A 23,143-nucleotide genomic window follows, 5' to 3' on the forward strand; every position below is an offset into this window, starting at 1 on the left:
TAAGCACTCAACTACTGCATATCAATAACCAAATTATCAAATACCTTACAAATTAAAATATATCTTAAATCATTACAAATTAAAATATATCTTAAATCATTACATATTTCAAATTGAAATCACTAATACTGTAGAGAAAAAAATTGTACTTCAGTTATGTACCTCTAGAGTACACTTTTTTTTTTTTTTTTTTTGAGACGGAGTCTTGCTCTGTCACCCAGGCTGGAGTGCAGTGGCGCTATCTCGGCTCACTGCAAGCTCTGCCTCCCGGGTTCATGCCATTCTCCTGCCTCAGCTCCCCCGAGTAGCTGGGACTACAGGTGCCCGCCACCACGCCCGGCTAAGTTTTTGTATTTTTAGTAGAGACGGGGTTTCATCGTGTTAGCCAGGATGGCCTCAATCTCCTGACCTCGTGATCTGCCCGCCTCTGCCTCCCAAAGTGCTGGGATTACAGGCGTCAGCCACCGCGCCCGGCCTGGAGTACACTCTTCCAGATGATCTGAATCTAGTCTTTCATTGTCTTTGAGCTATTTTGCAAGTTTGTACATTGTAGCTAACTGATGGCAACAAATACAATTCTTTCTTTACATATGTAAATTCTGTCCTGTCCTATAGAAATTCAATTGCCTTAATACAAATACAAATACAAAATCAGAAATATACGAATACGTATATAAAATCAGATTCTCAATTCTCCCTGTTGAGACTGAGAGCCTTTTCTCCCTTTTCTGAGAACATTTGCTTTAGAAAACTTGTAAATTATTTCTGTCTTTAAAAGATGTGTAAATCTTTTAAAAAGCTAAACAAGACTCTTACCAACTTTAAGATCCAGAATGCCTCTTTGAAGGACCTGGGAGACAATTCTGACACAAAATCATCAAGGAAGATAACTCTCCCATCTCCCAGTTTCTGCAGGAGGCTAGAAGCCTAACTTTGGTAGAAACCTTCCTCTGAAACTATCTTCCATCATAAAAATGTGAGATGTTTGTTGAGACCTTTGTCAATATTGAACATCCTGCCTTGTTCACAGGGGATCTTCAGTTCATGCCTATCGTGCTCCTAATTTTGCAAACTGATTTTTCTGGAACCAGCCTAATTTAGTTAGGAATTAGAAAACTGTTTAGTTATTTCCTCCCCTCCCCCTTCCCCTTCTCCCTCTTCCTTCTTCCTTCTTCATATTTCTTTCTCTCACTACCAGATTCTACTGAAAAGAAGCTTCAGAATAAGCTCTGACACACAAGTAGACATTTGTTATTCAGGAAACAAAAAATCTGTGAAATGAAAATAAATCTTGGGACCCCCAAATCACTAAGCCAAAGGGAAAAGTCAAACTGGGAACTGCATCTAGCAGACCTGCCTCCCGTTTTATTTCAGAATGAGATAGCTATAAAGACAAAAAAGCTACATATCACCCTCACAATTTTCCCACAGGGAAATTCCTTGTGGGCCTCAAGATCTTTACCCTAAAACAGTTCTGTTGAATTTCACCCCGGTAATGTACATTAATCACTTATCTTCACAGGTGCAGAGCAAAGGACAGAACTCATAGTTATCCCTCTGCTCACCTGAGACAAAGGCATATCTTATTGCTTCTTCTGCCCTATTGTTTATGTAAAAATGCAGATTCACTGAATCAGACTAAGGCATAAGTGACTACTACTCTACCCCAACACATGTGAATTATGTATTCAGTGAAATGGTGATCAAAGACATGAATGCAACCTTTTATCTCTTATCTATGACCTGGAAGCCATGACCCCTGCCCCTTTCAGTTGCCCCGCCTTTCTGAACCAAACCCATGTACATTGCACACATAGCGATTGGTGTCTCATGTCTCCCTAAAATGTATAAAAGCAAGCTGTATTCCAATCACCTTGGGCATATGTCATCAGGACCTCCTGAGGCTGTGTCACAGATGCATCCTTTAACTTTAGCAAAATAAATTTTCTAAATTTGATTGAGACCTCTCTCAGAAAATTTTAGGTTCGCAAAAGAGTTACAGACTCTGTCTTGCAACCAACTGAATAAGGTCCAGATCCTGCTGACCATTTATTGGTGTCTGATCTTCCCACTTAGAGGTGGGTGCATGAATTTATTTAAATAAAAACACACACAATTTTTTCAATTTTATCAAAGAAAGCTCCTGTCCAAAATCCTCTGTGCTAGTTGAGAAACTACTAATTTTACCAATGGATAAGCATTTTAACTTTCACTGTATAAATTAGTGTAGCTTCAAGTGTTGATGGAAGAGAAAGATAGCTGAAACACCAGTAGAAGCTGCCTTTGGGGATGGCCTTTTAGATTAAAGGACAGCAGACCACCTCCAGAGTGTGAATTCTTGATTAGGGCAACTGCTGCCCCTAGGATGCAAATTGAAACTAATATAGATTTTAGTCACAGCCTCCACACTGAAGTGTTTTTAAATAAATTTCTTACATCATAATATCAATGTATTATGTATCCCTTGGGCTTTTTTTTTAAAGTTTTACCATTACTCAGTTTTTACCCTAACTTTTCTTACATTTTATTTCTTGATTTTGAATACGTGGAATTAATTTTTCCTTAGTTCTGAAATGGCTAATTTTCTACTAATCTCTTTATTGTTTCATAAGATTCTGCATCCTCCCTCTCTGGACCAGTAATTTTTCTCTTTGGCCAAAATTCTGTTACTGTATTGATCCTACCAGGCCACTTCACTCCTTTAGAAGATATCTACTTCATCCTTTGTAAGTATTTGCTTTTGTCACTCCAGTAATTCTTATTACTGATTACAGTTAAAAATCTGTATTGCACTGATTTTCAGTCTCATATTTAAAGAATAGATTTTGTAAAGGGATAAAATTTTATGAATGAGATGGTTGGGAAATTTAGTGTAAAGGCAAAAGGTACCCACAGAAAGTAGAAAGTGTGAGTCATAAATGGAGGAGTAGGGAAGGAAGCTTTCCTCAACCTCCTTAGGGTTCCTGACTGGGCCTGAAAATAAAACTTACAAAGACAGATTAACATGCCAAGGAACCATATTTTGGGGTATTGTGTTCTGAGCCCAAGCAGAAATGAAGACAAGCTGAAGCAGATGGTATGGTAGAACTAAACGTGCAGGTGGCAGATGCCAAAAATTGGCCTACTAAAGAGATAGCTGAGGCATGCTTCTAGGTACACATTTTCAATACAGGATAAAATTTAAAAAAAAAAAAACAGAAGCAAGCAAGAAATTAGATAAGTAATGATGCTTTCAGAAAAACATCATAATGATATTTTTATATCATTAGTGTGCAATTATGTTATAACACTCAAATTATAATTGATGCTGGACAAAATAGAATTAATATGCAGGTTTATAGCCATCTTTAGTATAAAGGGATAGACAGTCCAAATTTTCCCTACTTTATTGTGTGCACACTAGAAAGTATTATTTACTGTAACATATTTTTTAAGGAAGCCAAATGGCAAAAGGACTTAATTCACACTTAATGTGCATAATTGCAACCGATTTGAAAATTCTTTGTATAAAAGATGACACATTATGAAGCGGGCAATTCTAATTATAATCAAAATTAATATAATTTTTACTAATTTAAGTTATATCTTATGCTATTGAGAAATATATGTGGCATTCTCAGCTATATATGTTATTTATTAATGAGAAAATATCCTTATAATTGAAATTAAAAATTTAATGCTTATTTTTCTGTTTTGTTACTGATTATCAGAAACCACCAATTTTTTCTCTATTTATATAATCATAGCAACTTTTAGTACCAGATGACTAAAATCTGACAAAAGAAAAAGGGTTTTTTTTTGTGTGTAACTAATTCTATTGGAAAATAGTTTTCTGCTGGGAAATAGAAAAGATAATTGGAAGTGGCAGGGAGGACTCTATACAGACAAAACTGAAGCAAAAACCCCTGAAATTCTCACTTATGAGGGAAAAAAAACTGTTAAGTTGCTTAAGACTTGATTATTCTTATACATGTTTCCTCCTCCAATAAAGGAACAAAAATAATAGATTGGTTCATTTATCTTATTATTAGTTCTAATATATGTGTTGACACAGAGTCTTGATAGAAAATATTGTCTAATAAGAAATAATTTATTTGATTGTTTCCTGGATCGTGGGCAGATAACTTGAAGGTAAACAGTTGATTTGCATACTTAATGCTGAAATTATATTAAAAATCCATTAAAAATAGATTAAAAGTTATAGGTTGTTCAAAGGAACTATTCTATAATTTTTTAATTATAAAAGAAATAATTGCATTTATAGAAAATGTTCATTATAGGAGTGTAAAAAGAAGATAAAAATTCTTATGACTCTAAAACACAGATATAAATACTGGTGACATTTTTATATAATTTCCTCAAGTTATTTTTCTGCATACCAGTTATGCGTCTGTAAAATATATGTACATTATACAAAAATAAAATCATATACAAATATACACAATCATAAATATATGTGTTTCTGTGCATATATATATATATATATACACAGTTTTGTGTAGAACATATTTCACTTCTTAATAATATATCAGTACAGCATGAGGATTTTCTTAAGTCTTTAAGCAATCTTCAAAATCATGGTTTTTTAACCTTATTATTCCTCATTATTCTTTCTTACAGATTCTTTAAATGAAATAAATCATGTCAAATAAGAGAATTTTTTTTTTTTTTTGGGATGGAGTCTCACTCTTGTTGCCCCAGTTGGAGTGCAGTGATGCGATCTCGGCTCACTGCAACCTCCACCTCCTGGGTTCAAGTGATTCTCCTGCCTCAGCCTCCTGAGCAGATGGGATTACAGGCGTCCTCCACCATGCCTGGCTAATTTTTGTACTTTTAGTAGAGACGGGGTTTCGCCATGTTGGTTGGGCTGGTCTTAAACTACTGACCTCAGGTAATCTGCCCACCTAGGCCTCCCAAAGTGCTGGGATTACAGGCATGAGCCACCACGCCCAACCAAGAGAAATATTTTTAAGTCTATTGACACATGTTGCCAAATTACTTTCAAGGAACATTGTACCAACTTACTATCTAAGTAGCAGCGTTTGAGAGGGCTAAATAGTCATCTATACCATCTCAATTTTAATGTTACATCCAAACTATTTTAGAAATCTCAGTGTGCATAATCATCCAATTGTGTCAAAGCAGATCCTTTGGAGAAAAATATTAAATTTTCTTTATGAAAAGTTTCTGATATTTGAGAATCCTAATTTTCAGAAAGTTCTTTTTTAGTTTGTCAAAAGAAATTCTCATTTTTATTTCCTGACTTTCTTTTAACAACTATATATCCACAGTTAAGAACATATATAGTGTATTACATTTGAATAAAATTAAAATTGAAATTATTCCCACTGCTACAATTGCCATTGAATCTACTTAGCAAGGCATGAAAATTCAAATTACCAAACTAGATATTGTAGGCTTATCATTTAGAACTCAATAGTAGTTATTAGTGCTGTACACTAAATATTTCTGGTTTTCCTCTTTATGGGGTACGCGGTAACATGGAATGTCATTGTTTTCTGTAGTTAGGTGTACCTACGTAACTTGTCAATTAAATTGGAGCAGAAGTGAAGGATATATCCTTTCTGGAAGAAGTTTTAATAGGAAGATCTTGATTTAACACATGTATTGAGATAAGGTCTCTATCAGCCTAGGTGCTAAGTGATTATTGTAAGCAGAGCCTCCCTGATGACCTGAGTTAGACAAGAGATATGAGTGTAAAATAAAATTTCATATAGTGAATCTATTAATGTTTGGAATATTTCCTATAATAGTGTAACCTATCTACACTCACTAATGCACAAGATGGCTTAAAATGTGGGGAACTGGCTTAATAAATTAGTGGAAGAACCAGGAAGGAAACCAATATTGGAATCTAGAAAAAAAATTACAATCCATGATGTAGTGACAATAGATGAAAGGGAAATTATTTAGAAAGCAGAGCCCAAGTTTCTATGAGAAGTGGCTGTAAAAATATATGTTACTAGTATGCTTTGGTTGACGTTGGTAGCATTTGGGAGAAGGATCATGAGAGATAAGAGCTCAGAATAAAAAGAATGACTGGTTTGCAAGCAAAGTAGAAAAAGGGAAAGTCCAGAAATTTGGTGAATTACAATGTTGGAATGTGCCTTCTCTAACCTAATAAATAGAAAATCAAATGGAGAAGGCCTTTAATGAAAAAAGGCTGAGTTAAACTGAGCTTTGTCATAAGGATTAAGTCAAGAGAATTTGCAGCCTTTTAAAAACATGGCCCAGAAATCCCACTACTGGTATATACCCAAAGGAATGCAAATCATCCTATCATAAAGACACAATTAGGTGTATGTTCATTGCAGCACTATTCACAATAGCAAAGGCATGGAATCAACCTAAATGCCCACCAATGATGGACTGGATAAAGAAAATGTGGTACATATACACCATGGACTAGTATGCATCCATAAAAAAGAACATAGGGTCCATAAAAAAGAACATAGGGTCCATAAAAAAGAACATTTGTAGGGTCATGGATAGAGCTGGAGGCCATTATCCTTAGCAAACTAATGCAGGAACAGAAAACCAAATACCGCATGTTCTCACTTAAAGTGGGAGCTAAATGATGAGAACACATGTACACATAGAGGGGAACAACACATGCTGGGGCCTATTGGAGGGTAAAGGGTGGGAGAAGGGAGAGGATTAGGAAAAATAACTAATGGGTACTAGGTTTAATACGTGGGTGATGAAAGAATCTGTATAACACCTCCTATGACATAAATTTACCTATGTAACCAACCTACACGTGTACCTCTGAATTTTAAGGATAAAAAACAAAACAAAACAAAAAAACTAGGTCAGAAGGCCATGATCTGGAGGCCTCTTTTTGAGATGACTTCTGCAGATCCCAGCCACTATAGTCTAAGAAGCCCAGTCCACAGAGAGGATCCAGGTGCTAGATTCTCCAGTAAACAGTTCCAATTGAGCCAGTTTTTAAATCATCTCTCCTGAGGCATAGGCTTTTTTTCAATTGTGATAAAATATATACAACATAACATTTACCTTTTAAAACATTTTTAAGTGTATAGTCCTGTGGCAGTAAGCAGTGAATTCACGTTGTTGTGCAACTATCAACACCATCCCAAGAATTTTTTCATCATCCCAAACTGAAACACTGTACCCAGTAAACACTAATTTTATACTCGTCTTTTTGCCCTAGCCCTTGGCAACCACCATTCAACTGTCTGTCATGAGCTTTCTTAAGAAGTTATCTTGGAAGTGGATTCTTCAGCCCCGCTTCTTCCAGACTCTAGTAGTTTAAGTCTTTCCAGCTGGATTTAAGGTAAAATTTTTCCTGATGCCTGATAAGTTCCAAATACAAGTAAGTTAACATGCAAAGAGTGAGATTAGGTGGGAGTGGTGGTGGTAGGAGATATGAAACCTAAGAAGGATAACTGATATGTAGAACTGACTGGGATGAAAAAGATAAGAAGCTTACTGAGTTTAAAGGAAGATTTTAAGGAAGAGCCAGTCTGAGATTTATGCCTGAGATCTTCTAAGGAAAATTTGTCCATTTTGGGCCCTCCCAATCATTATGCAAGAAGCTCATTTAGGATGTAGACAAGGGCCAGGGGGAATAATGGACACAGTGCCCACCTACAGAAGAGGAACTTCATCAAAGAATAGGTTCTACTTGCCCAAGTCAGTTTCACCAAGTCTGTGTCGTCCATATCTCTCATCTTCTCTTTTCTGAATACAAGTGTTTTTATTGCATTTATCTTGGCTGGGCATGGTGGCTCATACCTCTAATCCCAGCACTTTGGGAGGCTGAGGTGGGAGGATTGCTTAAAGCCAGAAGTTTGAGACCAGACTGGGCAACAAAGTGAGACCCTTTCTCTATTAAAACAAAAAGTCTCATCCCTAGTCTATGAGTGAATTCTCTGTTCAGAAGCACGTATAATTTACTATTGCAGTTTATCCATCTATAGAAGATTAAGAGCCACAGCTGACCTGATGTAGAGACTACCAAACATCTGTCATCCAGAATTTTGAACTTTGAGATTGATGCCATAACTGAATGAAATTTTGGTTTACCCTCCTGGGAAGTTGATGAGTGTATTTTGCAGTCAGAAGGTAGTAAAGTGAATATTTGGTGACTAGAAATCTGAAATATTACCACAGTTGATCAGTTCGCCTTTCTGAACACATGATAGAATCATCCTTTGCTATCCCTTTGAATTTAGGTACACCTATTTGACTTTTTTTTCTTTGCCAAAAAATGTGACTGGAAGTGATGAAAGCTTAAACTCTGGTATCTTTAAGAGTCAATATCTGATTTGGCATTTTTCTTCCCTCACAGGGATGAGAGTGGATGCATGAATTGAGGAGTCTCCATCTGAGGAACTGAAAGACTGTGAAGAGCACAGCCCCCCACTGTTCACCTGATGTAGACAAGGAACAGAAGAAAAAATGAACTTCTGTTGTGTTATGCCTTTGAAACTTGGGCATTTTGTGCAATGTAGAATAAACTTGCCCACTTCAACTTATGCAATTTTTTTTACCTGATATCACAATTCATTTCTGATTGGTTAAGAGAATATTTAATGTTCTAAGTAAATATGCATATATATAATATTTAAAGCCATTGAATTCAAAGCTACTTATTAGATATTCTTTGCTGTATTTTGGTTATTCTTTCTCAAATTTAATTATGCTCACAGTATAATCTATCTTATGTGACATAGTATTGTTTCTCAGTACTAATTTAGGAAAGGCCCAAGTGTATTAAGGCTGTGTTTTAGAAAGAATATTGTTTCAGCTTTTGTAAGCAAGTCATTTTAAGAATTAAGAGTTACACCAAAAAAAAGTACTTTGACGTTATGGGATATTTTGATCATTGAAACAGTGATGTCAGATGGTTAAACAGATGTAGACAGAAGATAAATTATTATATATAGACATTGACTATTGTCGTATATGGAATTGAACTAAACAGACAGTATCTTTCTTTTGCTTATATAGCCATGCTTTGTCAAGAATTATTTAGGGAAAGTAGGAAAGAAATCAATAGATTTTTCAACATCTGTGAATCCCATTCTTTTTACTTGGTTCAATTTCCTGGTCTACTCTATTTAATAAGAATCCTGCTGTTTTTCCATCAGACATTGTAGCATTTTACATCGTTTCTTAATTGCTTGCCATTTTACTTCTAGACTGGTTTTTAAATTATTTGTGACAGAAGCTCGACAATCAATACTTGCTTGAAAACTCCTTACTTTATTTTATTTTTGTACATATTTTTATCCTCTATGTGTGTGTATGGTGTGTGTGTGTGTCTTAATCCGTTGGAACTGCTATGACAAAATTCCTTAGACTTGGTAGCTTATAAACAACAGATAGATATTTATTTCATGAAGTTCTGAAGGCTAAGAAGTCCATGATAAAGGCACCAGTAGATTTGGTTATTTGGTGAAGGCTGCTTTTTGGCACCTTCTAATGTGTAGTCATGTGGTGGAAGGGGCAAAGCAGCTCTCTGGGGTCCCTTTAATAAGGGCACTAATCCCACTCATGAAGCCTCCTCTCTAAAAATCTCATCACCTTCTGAAGGTCCTTCCTCTTAATACCATCACTTTGGTGATTAAGTTTTCAACAGGTGAATTTTGGGAGAACACAAACAATCAGGCCATGGCAGTATGTATGTTCATTTGCATGAATCTCTGTCGGTTTTGTAATCCCATTTTACTTACTTTCATCAAAAAGTAAAATATTTCCAGTTATTTTTTTTCTAACAGGACTTAGACATTTATAATAATGTTAATGTTAAGTATTTCATCTTTGACAAAGTGAGCTTTCAAATTGGATGAAATAAATTTAACCATTGTTAGAATCACCTTAGTGGGTTTACTGTTGAAAACATTTCTTGATTGATATAAAACTAATGTTTTCAATTATTTGAGAAGTTCGGTGAATGGAGCCGACACTGTAAGAACTGTCATTTCATTTCTCTTGCATGCACAGAAAATAATTTTAAATAGAAAATGAGTGAAATTAACATAGAAAACAGTTGTTTTCATTTGTTTGGAACAAAATGTCTTGCTTCATAGAGCAATATATAAACACAATTTCTGCAGCTCCAGGTATTAAATGTTTAATGTCTGTTTAATACACAAATAACATTTGAAGTAAATGTGGTTGTTTTGTTAGCAGAATTGTGCATTCTGCTTTTAACATGGTATAACTGGTCTTCAGGGTGAGTGGTAAAGACAACTACTTAGTGTAAATTACACATTTATCATTCACTTTCTTCATGCACAGAAATTCAGTAATTATTTATTAAAATCGTAGCTTTCTTTAAGATCATGCAGCTATAAGGGCTTACTGCGTATTTTTTTAAGTGCTAGAGAAAGTGTTGCAGATTTGCAACATACAATAAATGGCAGTGACACAGCATAAGCGGTGTCCAGACAACTCTCTAGACACCCTTGCAGGACAGCTTAGCCTTCCCTTCCTCACACATTTTACATCCACCTGACCTATAATTTCCCATGTTACCCACTGACCTGATTGACTAGAGACTTCAGGTATCTCAAAGCCCATGTAAATGTATTTTACTTTTCTGGGTAAGCTAAGAGGGAAGGTTATTAACTGAGAGTGAGTAGAAAAGGGAGGTACTTATTTTCAGCAAAATTTGCTCACTATGTCATGTTACCCAAATTTAACCATTCTCATATCTTTCACCTTCCCTTAGTATTTTAGGGATAAAAGGGTCTCATCTGGGGACTATTTCTTAATTGTTCCCTTGTGAGCTACTCGCCTGTATCACACAATCATCCTTACCCTTCTTAGGCCCTTTATTGTTTCCCTGTTTACAAACAAGAACTTGAACACTGTCTCCTCCTTGCTTGGCTGTAACAGCCACCTTGCTCTGTAGTAGTCATTACCCACAGTCTCTTTTAATTTAGCACACTACAACAAAAGACTGAATCGCTGTAGCTGACTTAATTGAATGGCAACAATAACTTGATAGAAATCACAGCTTACAAGGAAAAAAGACATGTCTGTTACCTAAATATGACTAGTCAGTTTTCTATAGGAAAATAATAAACAGCGGCTCTTCTTATTGGTAAAATGTGTTCCTAGATCTCCTGTCTTGAGGTCAACCCTTCTGCCTTTTGCCAATAGTATGATTGTTTCACAGAACACATTGAAACTCAGTCCTTCATTTACTTGTTATTTTATTCATTCAATAAAATATTTATTGATTTTTTTAAATTTGTAACTTTTAGTTTTTGTGGGTATACATTAGGCATATAAATTTATGAGGTACATGAGATGTTCTGATACAGGCATGCAATGTGTAATAATGACATCAGAGAATGGGGTATCCATTTCCTCTAGCATTTATCCTTTGTGTTACAAACAATCCAATTATACTCTTTTACACATTTCTTTTTCTTTTTTCTGTCTTTTTTTTTTTTTTTTTTAAGATGGAATTTCACTCTTGTTGCCCAGGCTGGAGTGCAATGGCGCAATCTCAGCTCACCACAACCTCCGCCTCCTGGGATCAAGTGATTCTCCTATCACAGCCTCCCAAGTAGCTGGGATTACAGGCATACACTACCATGCCCAGTTAATTTTTTGTATTTTTAGTAGAGACAAGGTTTCTCCATGTTGGTCAGGCTGGTTTTGAACTCCCGACCTCAGGTGATCCGCCCGCCTTGGCCTCCCAAAGTGCTGGGATTACAGGCGTAAGCCACCGCAACTGGCCTTTACTAATTTCAAAATGTACAATTAAATTATTATTGACTAGAGTCACTCTGTTGTGATACCAAGTATTCGGTCTTATTTATTCTTTCTGTTTTTCTGTACCCATTAACCCTCTCCCCTTCCCTCTCCTAGCCCCCCACTATCCTTCCCAGCCTCTGGTAATCATCCTTTTACTCCCTATCTCTGAGTTCAATTGTTTTCATTTTTAGATCCCACGAATAAGTGATAACATGTGAGGTATGCCTTTTTGTGCATGGCTTATTTCACTCAACGTAATGATCTTCAGTTCCATCATTGTTGTTGCAAATGACAGTATCTCATTCTTTTTTATAGCTGAATAGTACTCCATTGTGTATATGTACCACACTTTCTTTATCCATTCATCTGTTAATGGACATTTAGGTTGCATCCAAATCTTGACTTACAAAGTTGTGAATAGTTTTGCAATAAATATAGGAACGAATATATTTCTTTGATATACTGATTTCTTCTCTCTTGGGTATAACTGAACAATAGGATTGCTGGATAATGTGGTGGCTCATTTTTAGTCTTTTGAAGAACCTCTAAACTGTTCTCCATAGTGGTTGTACTAATTTACATTCCCACCAATAGTGTAAAGGGTTCCTTTTTCTCCACATTCTCACTAGTATTTGTTATTGCCTGTCTCTTGGATATAAGTCATTTTAACTGGGGTGAGATGACAACTCATTGTAGCTTTGATTTGCATTTCTCTGATGATCAATGATGTTGAGCACCTTTTCATACGCCTGTTTGCAATTTGTATGTCTTCTTTTGAGAGATGTCTGTTTAAAGCTTTTGCCCATTATTTTGATTGGATTATTAGATTTTTTTTCTTATAGAATTGTTTTAACTCACTATATGTTTTGGTTAATATTCCCTTGTCAGATGGGTAGTTTGCAAATATCTTCTCCCATTCTGTGGGTTGTCTCTTCACTTTGTTGATTGTAACCTTTACTGTGCAGAAGCTTTTTAACTTGATGCAATCCCATTTGTCCATTTTTTGCTTTGGTTGCCTGTGCTTGTGAGGTATTACTCAAGAAATTTTTGCCCAGACCAATGTCCTGGAGGCTTTCTCCAATGTTTTCTTACAGTAGTTTCATAGTTTATGGTATTAGATTTAAGTCTGTAATCCATTTTTATTTGATTTTTGTATATGGTGAGAGATAGGGATCTAGTTTCATTCTTCTGTGTATGAATATCCAATTTTCTCTGCACTATTTATTGAAGAGACTATCCTTTCCCCAGTGTATGTTCTTGGCACCTTTGTCAAAAATGAGTTCACTGTAGGTGTGTGGATTCAGTTCTGAGTTCTTATTTTGTTCCATTGGTCTATATGTCTGTTTTTATGCTGGTACCATGCTCTTTGGGTTACTATAACTCTATAGTATAGTTTGAAGTTAGATAATATGATTCCTTTAGTTTTGTTCTTTTTGCTCAGGATAGCTTTGTCTATTCTGGGTCTTTTCTGATTCCATATAAATTTTAGGATTTTTTCTTCTATTTCTGTGAAGAATGTCATTGGTATTTTGAGAGGGATTGCATTGAATCTGTAGATTGCTTTGGGTAGTATGGACATTTTAATGATGTTGGTTATTTCAATCCATGAACATAGAATATCTTTCCATTTTTTGTGTCCTTTTCAATTTCTTTCATCAGTGTCTTGTAATATTCATTACAGAAGTCTTTTACTTATTGATTAAGTTAATCCCTAGATATTTAGTTTTATGTGTGGCTATTATAAATGAGATTACTTTTTAAATTTCTTTTTCATATTGTTGGCTATTGGCATATAGAAATGCTACTAATTTTTTTGTGTTGATTTTGTATCCTTCCACTTTACTGAATTTGTTTTTTTAGTTCTAATAGTTTTCCCGTGGAGTCTTTTTTTTTTTTTTTTGAAAGAAGGGATTGGGGGCTCCTTGCTTCTAGAGAACAAGAGCCCTGAGCTTCTACAGCCCTTCATATTTATTTGGTGGAGTAAACAGAGAGGAAGGGGTAACTGTCAGTCAACTATTTAATTTAACACAGGTGTACATGATTGCTTTTTTTGTTCAACAAGCTCCATACGTTTCTGTAGATAACTTCAAGGAACATGGCACCTGGGACGTGACTGCCCTCAACATTCCTTCTGGGGGCAGATTCAGTTGTCAGCCTGCCAACTGCTTTCACGAGAACAATTTGCTGTTTGCTCATACAGCCTCCAATGGTATACTGAGTTGGTCATGACCCTAATTCCTTTGGCGTCCAACATCTCCCCCTTTATGTTTTTGCATTAATTGAATAAAGGTAATTCCAGGCTGTGCAGCTTTCAATTGCTGGTTGGTGGTCCACCCAATCTTATAGACTCACGGGACACTACTGCTAACATGGCCAAGCACATGGAGTCAGGGGTTTTTGCCTGACCCTGATGCTCCAGCATTTTCTCAGCTTCCTGCTTTGTTTTCTTGATCTGTCCCCATGTTATGGGGGTGGATGTCAGTGTGACTGCGGTTGGCCCTTGCTCCATTTTTGCATTCAAATTCAGCTGGCTCATGACTCCTACTGGAGGGACCAGGCCCACGGATGGTCTCAATCTGCTGACCTCGTGATCTGCCCATGTTGGCCTCCCAAAGTGCTGGTATTACAGGCGTGAGCCACCGTGCCCTGCCTAAGTCTGCTTTCAGATAATACTATCCTGGTTTTGTGGGTAATGCAGGTACCTTGTAATAGAGTAATTCTAATTTTTCTCACCTGTCCTTTATAATATTGCTGTTCTTTATTTCACTTATTGTATGCTGTAATCACCCATATATTGTTGCAACTGTTAATTTGAACGGTAGCTGAAACATTTTTTCCCTTATGTCTGTCAACTGTTTTCAATCAATCCTTTTGTCCACGTGGACTAAAACGAAACAAAATTAGGTAGCATTTGTTTTTTATGCAAGTCATATATAATAAATGAAAAGTCAGAATGAAAATATTAGTACCACAGTGATTAATATATATATTGCATATGTAGTGTATCCCAGTCTAAATGCCAGAAAATCAGTGGGAAGAAAAGCAAAGAGGAAAGATGTTAAGGGTAATCTTTATAGTCTGGCAATAGGGTGTTTTCGTCATAGAAAAAGTACCGCTAGCACTACCACTATCGATTAGAAGTGAGATAGTCCTCAAGTTATTCTTTTCTCTTCAATAGCCCTTGGGTAAACAAAATATATCCAAACTCCCTGTATACTCAATTTTCGTCAGGGAAATGGAGAGTGTAGTTTTATAAAAAGTCTTCACTGTCTATTTCTAGGCTTTAAATGGGAAATATGGTGCCTCATTTTGTTCCACTTTTTCTGGTGAAAATATTAGCAATTAACTAAAGAACTGGAAAATGAACCTCACTGACATGAAGAAATATCAAAAGGTTCAAATAATCTACAAATTGAAATCTCTTCTCTCTAAGTAATGGAATTTCTAATTTTATATGCCTTATATTTCTCTGAATGTCATATGACTTTTTATTATAATTCTCAAAGTTAAGCATATAAAATCAGGATTGCTGAGAAAAATGTAAACTTTGCTCTCAAATCAAGAAGGCTTCTACTATATAAATAATTAACTAAATTGACATGTATCTTAATACATATAGTAAGCATTAGAGGTTAAAATGCTATGTATACATATTCAGAGCTCAAGAAACAAATATTTGTTTTGTTTTGTTTTGTTTTGTTTTTAAAGAAAGTAGTAGGAGAAACTCAAAGAATTATTGACAGAACTTTTTGGTGGTCCTCCCTGCTGCTATTGTCTGCATGTCAAGACCAGTAGTTAAGATTCGTACAAAACGATGGTGTTACAGTTATAAATGCCTAGCTCACTTCTTCATGACCAGAGTGATGAAGGAAGGAATCTCGCTTGGATATAATTTTTATTGTGATAGCAGATGGGAGCCCTAGGGAATCTTAAAGTGTTCAGGAAAGAGCAGCAATTACAAAAACATCTCTAGAGTGTGCATAGTGCAAGATCTCTTTGAATGCTTAGAGGCAAAAGTTATTTATCACGGGAACTATTATGAAAGCATGAGATAATGCATCTGCAAAAAAGAAGATGTTAGAGTAAGAATTGGGTCCCAAGGCCTGAGTCTAAGCAGAGAGCATAGAGGAAAGCAGTAAGAAAGAGTATGGGAAAGGTGTATAAGGGTTTGCAGAGGAGGGACCAAAACCCTGACAGAAATAGCAACAACTGGAAGGGGCAGAAGTACCCTTCAGGCCAATTTTCTGGTTCACAAATGTGTTTTGTCTCCTACGTAGTGTTTGAAAAACACATTTGGCCAACATTTTAAAACTGGCAGAATTCACATTTTCATGTGCAGTGGGAAAAGCTGGAAATCTGGTCTTTGTGTGCCTGCCAGCAATCAGGTGGGGCTGAATGCAGCACAACCACCTCATTTAGCTGTGGTCGGCGGCCGTGCAGTTTATCACTGCATGTCTCTTTCTCTCCCCAGGCTTCTTCCACTTCACATTTACATTTTCTTTCTGGCCCTTATAGGCACTTTGTTTTTGAACCCTGGGTTGGACACCGATTTACTGAAAGTACAGAATCTCTGAGTCCTCTGAAATGCACAAGAGGATGGTTGGGTCTTTAAGAAGACAGAGTAGACTGAAAACAAATCAAGACAGCCAAACTGAACAGACCTTGTTTTCTTAGGCTAAATACCACTTACCCTCTCTGAAAAGGCTCAAGTTATCAAAGCTACACTGAAATTGGTATGTTGTGCTTTCAATTAATTATAATGTTTAACTTAACTCCAAAGAAAATTCAGTTACTAGTTTATATAAAGTATGTGATTAAATTGTTCCCAAGTAACTATCTTTCTGTGATATGACTCAGTTAAGAAATAATTTGGAGACTTCCAGACAAAAATGGTAAATTAAGGCCATTTCTACTCGACTCTCTTCTGAAACCAGCTGAAAACTACTAAGACTACTGAATTTTCAATGAAATTAGGCAACCACTACAATTGCAATAGTCAGTTAAAAAAAATAAAATCCAGATCAAATATCAAGAGGATATGAAGCAACAGGGCCCAGAGACAATCAAGCTGCATTTGTAGTTCTCAGAAATTGGTGACACACTTGGAAGTCACAAGTATGTGACTTGTGGCTTGAACTAAAGCACAATAGCAGGAAGGCAGGGCAGAATAAGAGAAGACATGATTTGACATCTGCCAATCTCAGTAAAGAAAGATAAATAACTGTTAGATCACCTCACAGAAGGCAGTGAAATGCAGAGATTTTTTGGTAACCCCACAGCCTCCTTGTCGTTGTGAGTAAAGATGCAGTAAGGCAATGTAAGCAGCACAAAATTTGAGAAGTGGTTTATGACAGCTGGATCCAACACACCAATTGCCAGGTGTGTTTCCCCTAACTTTACTCCATATATTCTCCTGCAAAGAGATGGCTCAGAAAGTGGCAATGCACAGATATTTTCAAATAGAAAAGAAATAGGGTCTGTGACACACAGTTTCTTTTTGGAAAGCAACCTCAAGAGGAAATTATTCTGACAAACAGATGAATGAAGAAATCGTGGTAGAGAAAATGGCCAACACAATCTGTTAAACTAAGTTTATAAGAACAAAGTTTCTTGTAAGACTAAGGAAAAATTACTGAAAATATTTTAATGATTGGCCAGAATATCTGTAAATCTTCATATTGTAGGACTTACAATATAGAGATAAAACTTGGGATAAAGAGGATGGGGACAAGAAGTTGTAAGAAGTTCGTGAATACTATTTCCATATTCTCAGAGTGGGAAATGAGAGGACAATAAACCCTGTTTTAAAATAAATGAATCAATTTATGAGCTAATTTAATAAAGTCTTAGTGGAAGACCCATAAAAATAAAAACAAATTATAAAAACAATTGATTATTTCTGAAAGAAAGCACAGATAACATAAAACAATGTAAAGATACCATAAACCATGCAAAGAAACATTAAAAAGAAAAGAACATTAAAAATAAAAACATAACATGAAAGTATAACATTAAATAACAGAAGCAAGACTTAAATATATCTGTCAACTCAATATATGTAATTAAATTAAAAATCATGTTACAACAGAATTTAATTGTATTTAAACAAATAATGAAGTATGCATAAAGCAAGTGACTCAGGTTGAAAATAAATGAATAGGCAAAAAAAAGAGATGGCAAAAATAAATAATTACTTTTAATGAAACGCATAATAATATAAGACCAATTTTAATTCAAGTCTTAAAGCATTAAGGATACAAAGAAGACCATTTTACAAAGAAAATGTTACATTGAACAATGAAAGTTAGTCTTTGTAAGAAATTAGTGTACCATAAATATCTTTATGGGAAAATAATAGTAGAAAAAGGATAAATAAGTGGAACATATGTTTGGTCAAAGTCAGGTTTAATAGACAAAAATAAGTAAATAATATTAAGAATCTACAAAAATGTAATTATTATGAGCATCTAACAGATATATATTAAGCATATATTCTTGAAAATGAAGAATGCCTTTCTCTTTTATGTCTCCATAGAATATTTGCAAAATTATAAAAAACTTAGTTTTAAATCCTTATTTAAAAAAGTAGAAAAAGTATGGACTTATGTTCTGATCACATTGAATTAAACATCAATATTAACAATAAACATATAAACAAAATCTCATGCCTCTTGAAAGGTAAACAACACATGACTCTGTCCTAAATGAGTCTCAGGTAACTGAGAAAAATAAAAATGAAATTTGTAACATATTTTAAAACCAATAGTAATAAAACATTATATATCAGAACCTTTGGGTTTCAGTTAATTCATGCTTAGAGGAAAATTAATACCATCAAGATTTTAAAACTCAATTAAAATTATTTAAGCATTTAATTTAAAAATATTTCACTCCAATGTCAGCTTAATGAGAGCAGGGATTTCTGTCTATTTGTTCAGTGCTGTATTTCTAGTTTCCAGAAGCATTTAACATATAGTAGGTATCAACATGTGGTACCGGATGAATGAATGAATGAAATTAAGAGATGAAAAACAAAATACAGTACAACCAAGAAAAATAAATGTGCGAAATTTATGGGATAAGGATAGAAAACAATAAATAAGAAAAGAGAAAAATAATAACATTAAAATACATATCAAAGATCAATTCTTAAAATCAAGGAAGCCAAAAACAGATTATTAGCTAATATCAAGAATAAAAGGAAAAAGCACAAATACACAGCATTAGATGTGTGACAGGGAAATAATCATAGATACAAAATGATAAGATTAATGTTGTATTAATCAGTATGGAATAGATTTTACTGAATAGTAAAAATATATTGTTGGATAAGTTTTGATATACTATTTCAATGGAATTATTATTCAGCTATACCAATGAACAAACTGCTGATACATGCCATAAAACTCTTTTACATTATGAAGAAGAATATATACAGCCCAAATTTTAAAATGTTGATATACTTGAACACAAAAGAAGATATCCACAATTGCCAATAAGCATATTAATAGATGTTTGGCATCATTACCTAATAGAGAAATAAAAATTAAAAACACCGTTTGACGGCACTGTAATAATTGCTAAGATAAAAAGATAAATTTTAAAACTCCAAGAATTGGAAATGATATACAGCAAGAAGAATTACTGGGCATGTAAATAGTTACACTTCCAAATGCTACATGTCAATATCTGCTAAGGCTAGACAAATTCCCACTCTATGACCCAGTGGTTGAACTTCAAGGAAAGGAGTGCTATTGTGTACCAAATGATATATACAAGAATATTCATAGCAGCCTTACTCAAAATAGCCAAAAACCTGAAAACAACTCAAATGCCCATCTACAGTAAAATGAATAAATATAATAAAATACAATGGAAAACAGCAAACTGCTGATACACATATAAAAGGAAGATGAGCACATATCATGTAATTCCCTTTATATAAAGCTCAAGAACTGGAAAAGTAGGAATGATTACTGACTGCGGCATATGAATTGACTAGAAAAAAGCATGAGCAAGTTTCTGGGGCACCTCAAACTCTATATTTGTATCCAGGTGGTGTTACACAGATTTTCATATGTGTAAAAATATGTCAATCTATTAATTTAAGATTTTGAGGGGCAGGATTCATTATTTTAATATTTTAGCAGCTCTTGAGACATAACTCTTATACAATAAACTGCAAATATTTCAAAATTATAATGGAATGGATGAATCATATATCAGGTGTATGATCCATCCATTCCACTGTAAGTACTTGCTCCAGATAAGTGAAAATGTGTATTCATATAAAGACTGGTACAGGAATATTCATACCAGCTTTATTTGTCATAGCCTAAAACTGGAAACACCCAAATGTCCATCAACAGATAAATCATGAGCAAATTGTGGTACAGCCGCAGTGAAATACTACTTAGGAATAAAAAGAAATGAATCATAGGTATATGCAAAAATGTGAATGAATCTAAAAATAATTATGCTGGGTAAAAAAAGCAAGGCAAGAAAAAGTATGTATTATATGATTCTATTTTATAAAAGGCTAGAAATTGCAAAGTAGTCTACACTGATAGAAAGATCAGTGGTTGCCCAGATATGTGCAGGAGGAAGAGTTTTTAGAAAGGATTGCCAAGGGGCATTAGAAAACTTCTCGAGATGATTAGCTTGTTCATTATCTTGGTTGTGGTGATAGTTTCAGACAGGCATATACGTATGTCAAAACTTATCAAATTATAATCTTGAAATATTTATAGTTTATTGTATGTCAGTTTGACATATGTATATGTCTGTCTGTATTATGTATCAGATGGGCATGTACATATGTCAAAACTTATCAAATTATAACCTTGAAATATTTATAGTTTATTGTATATCACTAGCAGTGCATGAGATTTTCAGTTCCTCCACAGCTTTGCCAACACTGGGTATCATCAGCCTTTTAAATTTTAACCATTTTAATAGCATATAATGGTATTGTTCTGGTTTTAATTTTCATTTTTCTAATTACTAATGATGAGCATCTTTTCATGTGCTTATATACCATCCCTATATCTTCTTTGGTGAAGCATCTGTTCACATCTTTTGCCCATTTAAAAAAATTGGGTTGTTTTCCTATTGCTGAATTTTGAGAGTTCTTATATATTCTGGATAAAGACCTGTATCAGATATACTTTGCAAATATTTTTCTCTCAGTTGTGGCTTGTCTTCCTATTCTTCTCACAATATTTTTCGAAGACGTTTTAAATTTTAATTAAGTCTAGCTTATAAATTTGTTCTTTACTGCATTGTGCTATTGTCATATCTTAGAGATCTTTGCCTAACTCAAGGCTTTCTTCTAGAAATCTTACAGTTTTATGTTTTACATTTTTAAGTCTATGGTCAATTTTGAGTTAAATTTTGTATATGGTATGAGATATGGATCTTGGTTCATTTTTTTTTTTTGGATATAGATTATCGTATTGTTCCAGTACTATATGTTAAAATACATAAACTTAAGAGTTTTTGACTTTTCTGCATGTATGTTGTACCTCAATAGAAAATTAAATATAAATAAATCAATGAATATAGTGAAATAAAAGTCCTATTTATAATTATAAGCAATAAACACTAGAAAGTACCCAGAAATAAACTACGGTATGTACATATGTGGAGGAATTTTCAAGTTGTGTTGAAAGATATAACAGAAGCTCAGAAAGATTTAAATATTGCAAAGTATTCAATTATCCTATAATCAAAATATAAATACAATACAGTCTCTGTACAAAAACCACTATGTCATTCCTACATGGCAGTTCAATCCAACTCTGGTTCATTCCTGGCCCTTTAGGTTTTTCAGCTAAAAGCCTGCATATTTTCCACCACCTCTCCCTAACTGGTCTCAAATGCTGATCTTTGTCTTGTGATATTTGCCCTGTTTTTCAGAGGTTTTCCATTTATGATTTTAGTTTCCTTTCCTTTTCAGGCCCAGAATCATGAAATTTCCTAAGAGGAGAATGGGTCGTGTACTTGAAGTCTCCTACGTCTCTGTCAAAGCTGTCTTGGTTTTTCAAAACATGTAATATGTGGGTTTTCCCTGTGCTGCTCATGCCCAGAATCATCAAATGTCCCAGGGTGAGAGTGGCTGAGGAGACATGTCCCCTCTCTGAGCTTCTTCCCTCTCTGGAACCTTTGCCTTTCCAGTCCTCTTGTCTCAGTAGTGATTACTTATACTGGAATGATGGTTTTTGTATTTTATTTGGCTTTCCTATTTGTTCTCAGAGGCAGCTTTAGTCTGCCATTAGTGCCTCCAGTCAAGACAGGAGCAGAAGTTCTGGTATAACCTTTTAAAAACAAACAAACAAAACCTCACTTAATTGAAAGAGAAATTGATGATTTTTGCAAGACAAAAAAACCTAAATCCTTAAAATCTTAAATTCGTCATTAAATTTGAATGTAAAATTTAAATGTCATGTTTATTAATATTGTTAAGTGTTTAGGAAAAATAGATCTCTTACACACTACTAACAGGAGTGAAATATAAATATGTATAGCCCTTTTGGAAGGCAATTTTGCGTTAGATACAGAATTCAACGAATTTACAAATCCTTTACTTATCAACTCAATTGTTTAGAATTTACCCTGGGGATATATTCGCATCTATTATTTATTGCAATATTGTTGTAATAATAAAAATAACATCAAACAAAGGGAGGGAGGGAGAGAAGGAAGGAAGGAAGGACAGACCTAGTTGCCCATAATAAGAGAATAATTGTTTAAAAAACTTATTGTTACTTTTATATAATAGATGCAACTGTTGAAAATAACTTTTGATCTGAATATTCTAATGAAAAGAGCTTGAAATCCATTGTAATATAAGTAATTATTACTATTATTAGTTTTTTCAAATATACACACAAACTATCAATAGTTGTTGTCTCTGGGAAATAGGACTTGAGATTTAGACTAGGAAGAACATTTAATTTTTATTGTATACCTTTGTACTATTTAAGTGTTTGTTTACCATGTCATTATATTACCTCTTAAAAACTATTACTAAAAGATAATTTGATCTCTAATACATCATTAAATTAGGTAAGTGGAAAAAATAAAGTAACACCAAAGAAAGAATATTGGGGTAATTTTAAAAGTTAAAACATTTAATAAGGTGGTTTCTATTCATCATTTGATTATTGAATTGTGTTCAAATATTTGCTATTCTCAACTTTGTGTGCCTTCATCAGTACCTACTCAGAAGAAAGAAAAAAGCAGCTTGTAAGTTGCTCAGGAAAGGAGTAGCTCTACAAGTGTACATACTAATATCCCTGGGAATATTTGAGGGGATGAAAAGAGTTTCAAAGCAGCTAGTGGGATATTAGGGCTCTCTATGAGAACAACTAGGAATGACAAA

At 34.5% G+C, this 23,143-nt stretch overlaps 1 long non-coding RNA gene across 1 annotated transcript; it reads left to right on the top strand.

The window, feature by feature from the left end:
- The first annotated feature begins 2,612 nt into the window (after positions 1–2,612).
- Positions 2,613–8,522, top strand: LOC105369726 (uncharacterized). Its single transcript, XR_931504.3, has 3 exons — positions 2,613–2,726; positions 7,196–7,318; positions 8,336–8,522. It is a non-coding gene; the product is annotated as an uncharacterized LOC105369726 (long non-coding RNA).
- The last annotated feature ends 14,621 nt before the right edge of the window (positions 8,523–23,143 follow it).

Source organism: Homo sapiens, chromosome 12, assembly GCF_000001405.40.
Source record: "Homo sapiens chromosome 12, GRCh38.p14 Primary Assembly".
Lineage (NCBI taxonomy): Eukaryota > Metazoa > Chordata > Mammalia > Primates > Hominidae > Homo > Homo sapiens.